This window comes from Homo sapiens, chromosome 7 (assembly GCF_000001405.40).
Source record: "Homo sapiens chromosome 7, GRCh38.p14 Primary Assembly".
Lineage (NCBI taxonomy): Eukaryota > Metazoa > Chordata > Mammalia > Primates > Hominidae > Homo > Homo sapiens.
This window is the reverse complement of record NC_000007.14, coordinates 77742811-77754822: the sequence shown is the minus strand read 5'-3', so window position 1 is coordinate 77754822 and position 12012 is coordinate 77742811. Positions and strand designations below refer to the sequence as shown.

Sequence of the window (12012 nt, the reverse complement as noted above, 5' to 3'; positions counted from 1 at the left end):
ATTTTCTTCATTTTCAAAGAGACATGGGCCTTGCTATGTTGCTCAGGCTGGGCTCAAACTCCTGGGTCCTAGTGATCCTCTTGCCTCAGCCTCCTGAATAGTGCCATGGCTAATTACTAAACTTCTGACATTCCAAATAACTAGCATATGCATGACAGTACCACAGATAAGGGAAAGGGGGATGTTGGAAGATAAATGGAGTACAAAATACTGTTTCAGTTTCTCAGGATGAATGTTAATGTCATATTCTAAGAAGTGCTGAAAACTTCCATGTTCTCAAAAAGGGTGATTAACAACATGAGGTCTTGAATATACAGGAATAAATCTTAAAAATCTGCAAGACCTCTATGCTGAAAACCAAAAAATATTACTGACAGAAAATAAAAAGACAAATGAAGGGGAATACCATGATCACAGATCGGAAGACTCAATGTTGTAAAGGCATCGATTCTACCCTAACTTATCTATAGCCTTAATGTAATACTAAGCAATATTCTAGCAGATAACTCTTTGAAACTTGAAAAGCTGATTCGAAAGTTTATGTGGAAATGTAAAGAGCCAAGGAAATCTTGAAGAACAAAGCTGGCAAACCGATTCTAGATTATTGAGATTAATGATAAAGCTAGGCACAGTGGCTCACACCTGTAGTCCCAGCTACCCAGGAAGCTGAGGTGGGAGGATCACTTGAGGCCAGGAATCTGAGACTACAAAGCACTATGATCGTACCATTGCACTCTAGCCTGGCTGATAGAACAAGACCCTGTATCTATCAATCAATCAATAGAAAGAGTTATTATAAAGCTGTAACAATTAGACAAACAAAACAATGGAATCAAAGGGAGCCCAGAAACAGACCCACACACATATGATTAGCTGGTTTAAGGTGACACTACAATACAATGAGGAAGGGGTATCTTTTCCATAAATGATGCTGGGTCTTTTGGATATATTTATATGGAAAAACATAAACCCTGATCTTTACCTCATGCCATATACAAAGATCAATTCCAGATGAACTACAGATTATTTTTCCAATACTTTTAGCTGCTGTTTTATTAACTATAGATTTAACCATGAAAGGTAAAACAATAAAAGTTTCCAGAAGAAAACTTCACAGAATATATTAATGACTTTGTGGTAGGCAAAGATTTCTAAAACAGAATGTAAGAAACAGTTATCATAAATGGATTATAAATTATAAATTAGATTACATTAAACTTAGGAACTTCTAGTTACCAAAAACATCTATGAGTGAAAAGGTAAGACACCAAGTGAGAGGAAATATTTGCAATACAGTTAGCTGACAAAAGATTCTTATCTACATATATAATAGTCCAACAAATCAACTAGAAAAAAAGCAAATAAGAAATTGACAGAGTGGACAGGTACTTTACAAAAGAGGATATTCAACTGGATAATAATCATATAAAAAGGTACTTGACATCCTTAGTCATCAGGGAAATACAAATTAAACCACAGGGAGCTACCACTACATAGTCACCAGAATGACTTAAATGAAAAAGACACTACTAACCGTGGCAAAGGATGTGAAACACTGCCACTGGGAATGTAAATAGGCACATTTAACTTTGGAACACTGGCAGTACCTAGCAAAACTGAATAGGTGCATATGTTTTGATCCTGAAATCCTAATCTTAGGTATATACTCAAAAGAAACACATACATATGCTCATCAAGACATGTGAAAAATATTCATAGCATCCGTGTTCTACCAGCCTCAAACTGGAAACAACTCAAATGTCCATCCATATGGTAACAAGATCAACAAACTGTGGTATATTAACACTGGTATACTAACACAGTGGAATACCATACAGCAGTACCACTACACACAAGATGGATGAATCTCACAAACGTTATACTACAGAAAAGAGACCAGACACAACAATGTACGTACTATCTGATTCCACCTAAGTTCAAAAAGAAGCAAAATATATCAGTGATGTTCAAAGTCAGGACAGTGATCACCTGGGTATTTGTTCATGTGGTGGGACTGGGGGGTTGGCACAGTACTGATAAAGAAGGGTTCGGGGATGGTTTCTGGCTATTAACAATATTTGGCTTTTTAAAATCATGGGTGTGTTCCCTGTGAAGATTCATCAAGTTATACATTTATAATATGTATACTATGTCATACATTACACTTCAATAAAAAGTTTACTAAATAAAATCAACTCCTGGAGGGACACTTCAATGTAGGCTGAGAGAGCTTTAACTGGGAGGACTCCAGGGATGAGAAATAGAACTGTGCAAGAAGAAGCATGCTCATTTTTCTCCTACTGCTCTCTCTTCTGGATCCCATTCAGTTTCATAAAGCCAGTGCCTAAGGACAAATCAAAGGCTACCTCCCCAATCTGCACACAACAACTTCCCCACTCACAGGAATAAGATCTGAAGAATCTTGTGATAAAAGGAATACGGGCCTTGCACATGTACTTTCCTGCCTTTAAGTCTAAAGCTAAAGAAGCAAAAGTAGTCCCTGCAGCTGACATGCTTAGGTCACCAGGGTAGCAGATCACACAGATATGGGGCCAGAACCACAACTGGTAAAAAACAGGATCCATCTGCCTGGAGTTTCCTCTTTGCAATATATATTACCCAAGAAGCCCGAAGACATGGTGACAACCAGAGGAGGTGGCTCATCAAGGACTTGAGATCCACATCCCAGGCACACACTGCCATGATTAACAAGTCCAGCATCTCATTTTATTTAGTAACAAAAGCAGTTTTCATGGTGTACATATTAGATAGTTTAGATGAAAATTTTTATCATTTAGTATAAAATAATTCCTAAACTTATTTGAAAAACCATCTGAAAAGCATGTAATGTGATGCACATCAATGTACTGTCACATTTAAAAGGTTACTGAAGCAAACTTGCATAGTATCAAAGCAAGAAAGTTTGTGGTATTGTGGAAATAACCGGGAATGGGAGCCAAGAGGCCCAATAGAAAACCGGACATTTAGGAGACATGCAATAAACGACAAATGAATGATAAGGTGATAAGGCACTTTGAACATGTTATCTCTTCTCTCACTGGATCTGTTTCTTCACTGCTAAAGTAAGATTATAATGAGGATTAAATGAGTTACTACATATAAAATACTCAGAACAACTAGTCCTTGGCACAGTCAGTACTCAATAAATAGTAAACACTATTATTAGATGCCAGTCCTGATTCTGCCATTATATTCAGGTGTAACCTCAGACAAGTAACTCACCATTTTGGGTTTCTATAAAATGACAGGGCTAGTAATGGATGCTCTATAGCTCCCTATCTAGTTTAGAAAATATTTAATTTTCAATTCTCAAACATGTTAGAGAATAATTCCCACATACGCACATTAAAAATTATTTTCCAGGCCGGGCGAGGTGGCTCACGCCTGTAATCCCCACACTTTGGGAGGCCAAGGCAGGCAGGTCACTTGAGGTCAGGAGTTCGAGACCACCCTGGCCAACATAGCGAAACCCTGTCTCTACCAAAAATACAAAAATTAGCCAGGCATGGTGGTGCATGTCTGTAATTCCAGCTACTTGGGAGGCTGAATCAGGAGAATCGCTTGAACCCGGAAGGCAGAGGTTGCAGTGAGCCAAGGTCGCACCACTGCACTCCAGTCTGACTCCATCTCAAAAAACAAAAAACAAAAAAACACCACATTATTTTCCAGACTACAATCTACTACAGAATATACACCAAACATACTCATACTATTGGGGGCGGGGTACATGTGGATGTGACTGAACATCCAGACTACCATTTAAAGTGGAAACTATAACTTGAGCACCCATCCAAAAAGGAACATATTCAGAATAAGGAAAGGAGCCCTGGATGAAGATTAAGATTTTGTTCTAATCCTGACACTGCTGACAATGTTAAACAATACCTTACTCCTCTCTCTCTACGTCTGTTTACTTATTTGTAAATTGAGAGGTGTTGGGATAAATAATCACTAAGATCCATTTGAGACTTCCTTTACTTTTTCCCTCCTTCCAAACTAGAATGTTGTCCTAGAAACCAAAAACCGTTCCTAGAAAACCAAAAACTACAGCATCAATAAATGTGAGAACTGGCCAATCTCCAGACTAAACAGTCCCAATCTGAGGATGGGTGATAATGGCACCAGCCTTTCAGATGGGCCCACACTGATGTTCAAGACCCAGCAGACTCTATTCTGTCTGCTTTCCAGAATAATATATATTCTCCACCATAGAGAAGGGTAGGAAATGAAAATTAGCTCAATATACTGATTGCTACTTTTAACACATCATTACACAGTAACTGATGATTCCTTCATACCACAATATTTTTAATGGCCAACATTTCTTCAGTACCTACCATGTGATGGGCCTGGTGCTAAGTACCTTAAAGCATCCTAAAGCTAGAAGACAATTTTAGGTGATTTCCAGGTAAGAAAACTATTTAAGGACTGGAAAATACATGGCTAAATTCATTTCCTTAGGTTCAAGACCACTCCTTGCAAAAAAAAAAAAAAAAAAAAAAAAACACAGAATCTTAATTATTTCATTAATTGTCTTTAAAAAAAAACATACATAAGTGAAAATTGAATTTTAAATTCTGATGCTCACATCAAGAAAGTAATTTACTCTTAATACTCCCAAATGGTTTCATTATATTCTTACCTTTTTATTTCAGCCCTATAATTAGGAACAAAAAACAGAAACTCATCTAAAAATATATAATTAAAAGTTATTTTATAAAACTAAAAACCTCTTACCTGAGCATGAAAATTGGACATAGTCGTTGTCTCTATATCTTTCTTTCCCAATATCTCCATTTTCACTGGTGAATTGGGAAAATTAAATGAAAAATAGTCTAAAAAGTCAGGTAAATAAGTAGCTGCCCCATGAACAATACCCATCACGTAGAAAGCTGCAGAGTTTTCATTTTCACTGAACACTAGACCCACAAACTCTTCTGCAAACCTCTCCATCTCCATAGGAGACAGGTGGGAGAGTTCGTTACTGTAGGCATGGATAACCGATGCACCTCCATTAGGCTGGTGCTCTATATGAATGAGTTGTTTAAATTCCAAAGTGTCCAACCTTTTGAGGTTATTCTGAACTCGTGGCTCCTTTAATGAGACAAATGGAAACTCACTGTTCTCTGGAATTTTGGAATCATAGTTCTTGGTATCCAAATTCTTCCCAACGTAATCTTTTATGTTATCATTTAGGATGCCTTTGGCTGCTTGATCTTCAACATCAGTTAGCAATCCTGAGCAGATGGTCTGAATAGATTTGCTATACATTTTCGGACGCTTCCGTTTTTCATTCTCTTTGTGTTTCTTTTTCTTTTTCTTCTTTACCTTTTTAATTTGTAAGTCTTCTATATTTGTTTTTGGTTTCTCCTTCCCACCTGTTGGAAAAAATGTTTTTTGAAACTCCATATTTTAATTACTTTAAAAACCATGCTTTAGGAACAGTTTTGTCTAAGTAAGAAGTTTACTTCTGAAAATTTACTCAGAATTATATATTTAGGACTCATTTTTTACAGAATTGATAATCAATATTTAGTCAGCCTTTTTTGAGACAGAGTCTTGCTCTGTCGCCCAGGCTGGAATCCAGTGCCACAATCCTGTCTCACTGCAAACTCCACCTCCTGGGTTCAAGCAATTCTCCTGCCTCAGTCTCCCAAGTAGCTGGGATTACAGGAGCGCGTCACCATGCCCAGCTAATTCTTGTGTTTTTAGAAGAGACAAGGTTTCACCATGTTGGCCAGGCTGGTCTCAAACTCCTGACCTCGTGATCTGCCCGCTTCGGCCTCCCGAAGTGCTGGGATTACAGGCGTGAGCCACCACACCCAGCCAGCCAGTCTCTTCATGTACACAGCGAGAGAGAGACAGAGAGAGAGAGAGAAAGAGAGAGACAGACAGACAGACAGACGGGCATAGAGCAAAGTTACATCTACAGTGTGTGCTACCATTCTGACATATAGCAAATGCTCACAGTTTACAGAAATAAGGAGATGAATGAATATTTTAGAAAACAATCTTCAGGCCAGGCGCAGTGGCTCATGCCTGTAATCCCAGCACTTTGGGAGGCCGAGGTGAGTGGATTGCTTGAGGTCAGGAGTTCGAGACCACCCCGCCCAAGAGAGCAAAACCCCATCTCTACTAAAAACACAAAAATTAGCTGGGCATGGTGGTGAGCACCTGTAATCCCAGCTACCCGGGAGGCTGAGGCAGGAGAATTGCTTGAACTGAGAGGCAGATTGCAGTGAGCCAAGATCGTGCCACTGCACTCCAGCCTGGGTGACACAGCGAAACCCTATCCCAAAAAGAAAAAAATAAAGAAAAAAAGAATCATCTATGCCTAGTGTCTTTCCTTTACCACCTTATCATTCTTACTGCTTAAATTCTGGTTCTGTTTTCAATCTGTTTAAATTTGCTTTCCCAGAATGTTGAAATATCAAATCCAGTCATATTTACTCAAGTCATTTTTTCTGGTGTCTCCGTGATTTGACAGAATTATCCAGCTCATCCTTGATTACTTCTGAATTCCTTGATGCCACTGTCTTAATTTTTGGTCTAACAGCTGCATAACTGTCTCTCATCCTGAATGCTACAGCCATATTAACCTTTCTATAATTTTTATGTATTCTTTTGATCATATTCATTCCTTAGCTAAACTGCTTTCAAGAGCTCTCAATGTCTACCTATAATCTCTTCAGTCTGGAATCCAAAGACAGTGCCCTCAAGTACCTCATACTCTGGTCAAACTGAACTATTTATTTACAATTTCTTATAAAACATAACTCTACTGGCAAAGGTATTTCCTCTCCTTAAAATACACTTCACTTGCTCATTATTTACAAATGAACTCTTTTCTATCCATTTGATGTGACTGAAAGTTTCCTGAGCTCCCCCCCGAGAAGCTGAGCAGATGCCAGCATCATGCTTCCTGTACAGCCTGTAGAACCATGAGCCAATTAAACCTCTTTTCTTTATAAATTACCCAGTCTGAAGTATTTCTTTATAGCAGTATAAGAATGGACTAATACAGAAAACTGGTACTGAGGAATGGGGCATTGCTATAAAGACATCTGACAATGTGGAAGTGACTGCCCTAGTAGAGAGGTTCTCCATGAGAGCTCCATTCCTTTAGCAGGCTTCTGCCTGAACATCCAGGTGTTTCCATACAGCCTCTGAAAACTAGGTGGAAGCTCCCAAGCCTCGAATCTTGCATTCTGTGTACTGGCAGGCTTAATACCACATAGAGCCACCAAGACTTATGGCTGGCACCCTTGAAGTAGTGGCTCAAGCTATACCTGGGCACCTTTGAGCCACAGCTGGAGCTGGGATGGCTGGGGAGCAGGGAGCAGTATCCTGAGGCTGTGCAGAGCAGCAGGGCCCTGGGCCTGGCCCAGGAAACCACTCAGTCCTACTAGGCCTCCAGGCCTGTGATGGGAGGAGCTGCCACAACGTTCTCTGAAATGCCTTCTAGGACTTTCCCCCATTGTCTAGTCTATTAGCAGTTGGCTCTTTCGTTTTATTTACACAAATTTCTGCAGTTATTTACACAAATTTCTGCAGCCTGCTTGAACTCTTCCCTGACAATAGGCTTTTCTTTTCTACCACATGGCCAGACTGCAAATTTTCCAAACCTTTATGGTTTGGAAAAGGTAATGTGGGGAAATGTGGGGTTGGAGCCCCCACACTGAGTCTCCACCAGGGTACTGCAGAGTGGGGCTATGAGAAGAGGGCCACTGTCCTCCAGACCCCAGAATGGTAGATCCACCAAAAGCTTGCACCACGCACTTGAAAAAGCCTCAAGCCCTCAATACCAGCCCTTGAGAGCAGCCACAGGGGCTGAACCCTACACAGCCACAGGGGTGGGGCTACCCAAGGCACTGGGAGCCCACCTCTTGCATGAGAGTGTCCTGGATGTGGGTCATGGAGTCAAAGGGGATTATTTTGGAGCTTTAAGGTTTAATGACTGCCCTGCTGGGTTTCGGACTTGCATGAGGTCTGTAGCTCCTTTTTTTGGCCAATTTCTCCCTTTTGGAACAGAAGTATTTACTCAATGCCTATACCCACCCCCCTCTATGTTGGAAGTAACTAACTTGTTTTATATTTTATACGCTCATAGGTGAAAGAGACTTGGCCTTGTCTCAAATGAGACTTTGGACTTTGAACTTTTGGGTTAATGCTGGAATGAGTTAAGATTTGGGGGGACTGTTGGCAAGGCATGACTGAATTTTGCAATGTGAGAAGGACATGATATTTGGGAGGGGCCAGGGGTGAAATGATATGGTTTGGATCTGTGTCCCCTCCCAAATCTCATGTCGAACTGTAATCCCCAATTACAATTGAAGGTGGGGCCTGGTAGGAGGTAACTGAAATCATGGGGGTGAATTTCCCCCTTGGTTCTGCATCACCATTGTGAGTGACATCTGGTTGTTTACAAGTGTGCAGCACCTCCCCCATCACCACCTCTCTCCTGCTCTGGCCATGTACGGCGTGCCTGCTTTCCCTTCACCTTCCACCATAATTGAAAGTTTCCTGAGGCCTCCCGAAAGCTGAGCAGATGCCAGCACCATGCTTCCTGTACAGCCTGCAGAACCATGAGCCAATTAAACCTCTTTTCTTTATAAATTACCCAGTCTCGGGTACTTCTTTATAGAAGTGCGAAAATGGACTAATACACTATCCTTTAATGCAGGCATCCCCAATCCCAGGGCAACAGACCGGTACTGGTCCATAGCCTGTCACAACTAGGCCACACAGCAGGAGGTGAGCAGTGGGCGAGCCAGCGAAGCTTCATCTGTATTACAGCCATTCCCCATTGCTCACATTACTGCCTGAGCTCCACTTCCTGTCAGTATTAGATTCTCATAGGAGGGTGAACCCTATTATGAACCATGCATGTGAGGAATCTAGGTTGCCTGCTCCTTATGGAGACTCTAATGCCTAACGATCTGAGATGATACTAGTGCTGGGAGCTGCTCCAAATACAGATTAACAAGCTCAGGGTTCCCACTGATTCTACATTATGGTGAGTTATATAATTATTTCATTACATATTATAATGTATAATAATAGAAATAAAGTGCACAATAAATGTAGTGTCCTTGAATCATCCCGAAACCATCCCATCTGTCCATGGAATCACTGTCTTCCGTGAAATCAGTCCCTGGTACCAATAAGGTTGGGGACCACTGCATTAAAGACAACTCTTATATCCTTTCCTTCATGTTGCTTTCCCTCATTTCTCAAATTAGAACTGAAATCACTTCACTCCTAAGTCATATGTTACAAAAGTTACATGTTTCTCTCATAGGATACCTGTATACTATATGTCAATCAACACTATGAGTGAAACAAATAACCTTTATATTAATTTAGAGTGAAATGATACCTCCTTTTCCATCATTATATCCCTCATAGTATCTGGCATATTGCTACATAAGAATATTTAATGAAAGTATGAATGAAAAAATCTGTCTCACTAACAGACTACCTGAGGCTTATAGTTTTTTCCCTTATCTTCCTTTCAGTCAACTTTTTTTTTTTTTTTTGAGACGGAGTTTTGCTTTTTGTTTCCCAGGCTGGAGTGCAATGGCATAATCTCGGCTCACTGCAACCTCCGCCTCCCGGGTTCAAGTGATTCTCCTGCCTCAGCATCCCAAGTAGCTGGGATTACAGGCATGCGCCAACATGACCAGCTAATTTTGTATTTTTAGTAGAGACAGGGTTTCACCATGTTGTTCAGGCTGGTCTTGAACTCTTGACCTCCAGTGATCCACCCGCCTCAGCCTCCCAAAGTGCTGGCATTACAGGCGTGAGCCACTGTGCCCAGCCTCAGTCAAGCTTTTGCACATATGAATACCACTAAATTCTAGCCCTGAAAACAACAAAAACTATTTTAAGTTGATAGCAATCCATAAAAGTGAAGTTTAATGTTAAGAAATTCTCTGTAAAAATTCACAGACGTGATAATTCATAAGTATCCAATGAAGAACTAGTATGAGAAGCAAAAACAGTAATCTGTCAACATTATTCATTACACAGGTGTATAAAGTCATAAAAGGCAAAGTGTTAATTCTCTAAAGAGTCTATCTGTGGCCAGGCGCAGTGGCTCACACCTGTAATCCCAGCACTTTGGGAGGCCGAGGCAGGTGAATCACCTGAGGTCAGGAGTTCGAGACCAGCCTGGCCAACATGGTGAAACCCCGTCTCTACTAAAAATATGAAAAATTAGCCGGGCGTGGTGGCAGGCACCTGTAATCCCAGCCGAAATTGCACCACCGCACTCCAAACTGGGTGACGAGAGTGAGACGTCTCCCCCTCAAAAAAAAAGTCTATCTCTAAGCAGCTAAGACACACACTTGAATAACGTTATCAAATTCAGACTTGCCACCTAGGTATGAACTATCAAAATATCATATTTAGGTTAATTAGTATCTTAAGGACAAAATTAATTTTTAAAAAAAAGTCAAACAGTAGGCCAGGCATGGTGGCTCACACCTGTAATCCCAGCATGTTGGGAGGGCAAGGCAGGAGGATCACTTGCACACAGCAGTTCCAGACCAGTGTAGGCAACATGGTGAGACCCTGTCTCTACAAAATCTTTTTTTTTTAATTAGCTGGGCATGTTGGTACATGCCCGTAGTCCCAGCTACTCAGGAGGCTGAGGCAGGAGGATGGCTTGAGCACAGTAGGTTGAGGATGCTGTGAGCCATGATCATGCCACTGCACCCCAGCCAAGGCAACAGAGAAAAAAATAAAATAAAAATAAATGTAAAAAGTAAAACAGTCCAGACATGGTGGCTGATGCCTGTAATCCCAACACTTTGGGAGGCCAAGGCAGGAGGATCACTTGAGGCCAGGAGTTCGAGATCAGCTTGGGGAACATAGAGAGACCTCATCTCTACAAAAAAAATGAAATAAAAATAAGTGAAACAGGGGACTAACCAAAATGAAAGATGAAACAATCAAAAAAAATCAGGGAAAGAAGGCAGTAATGCAATAAAAAATAGAATTTAACAAAGCTTAAAGGGCAAAGGTGTGATTAATGACATTCCTAAATACAACTGAAAATATATGTAGAACTGCATAAATTACGCAATTGTTGCCAAAATGAATAAAACTTCATTTGAGTGAAAGTATATTTAATATCCTACACTTATGCCTAACACCAAAAAAGGTTAAATCAGAAAATATTACCAGGAGAACACATTAGTTTGAAATAGAACAGAGACAACACTTAGTCTATTTCATAGGCATGAAGATAAACCAAAAGGTACTATAACAGGAACTGAAAAATGCAAACCAATAAGAAATCAGTTAAGAGATTCCTTTAGAAAAAAAAAAAAACAAAACCAACTTATTTATTTATTTTTTTAATAGAGACAAGGTCTCACTATGTTGCGCAGGCTGGTCTCAAACTCCTGACCTCAGATTATCCACCCGTCTCGGCCTCCCAAAGTGCTGGGATTACAGGCATGAGCCACTGCACCTGGCCAAGAGATTCTTAGACTGAGCATCAAGGAGTTAAATTCTCACAGCAGAGCAGCCTGGGAAACAAAGCAAGACACTGTCTCTACAAAAAATACAAAAATTAGCTGAGTGTGGTGGCAAATACCTGTATTCCCAGCTACTCAGGAGGCTGAGGCAGAAGGATCACCTGAGCCTGGGGAGGTAAAGGCTGCAGTGGCCTGTGATCACACCACTGTACTCCATACTGGCAACAGAGTAAGACCTTGTCTCGAAAAAAAAAAATTCCCATGGAAAACTATTCTGTAATTAAATACTGAAATGAGCACTGTATGCAGAAGAGATAATATGCCTGAGACTGTTATTCTCAGTCCTGTTTGCAAGGCTGACTCTCGGCTAGCATCTAGGAACTCTTATTTTTGGAGGGTTCCCCCCATTCCATAAGTAAGAGTCTTCACTGTGCCAAAACTGTGCAAACAATATAGTTCGTTGTTGTTGTTGTTGTTTAAGACAGGGTCTCACTCTGTCGCCCAG

General features: G+C 40.6%; 1 protein-coding gene across 1 annotated transcript in view; it reads right to left on the bottom strand.

The window, feature by feature from the left end:
• RSBN1L (round spermatid basic protein 1 like) overlaps positions 1 to 12012 on the bottom strand; it is an 86564-nt gene that overhangs the window by 28200 nt on the left and 46352 nt on the right. Inside the window, exon 3 of the mRNA NM_198467.3 lies at positions 4759 to 5399. Coding sequence (NP_940869.2) covers positions 4759 to 5399 — 641 coding nt within the window. The remainder of the gene's footprint in view (positions 1 to 4758; positions 5400 to 12012) is intronic.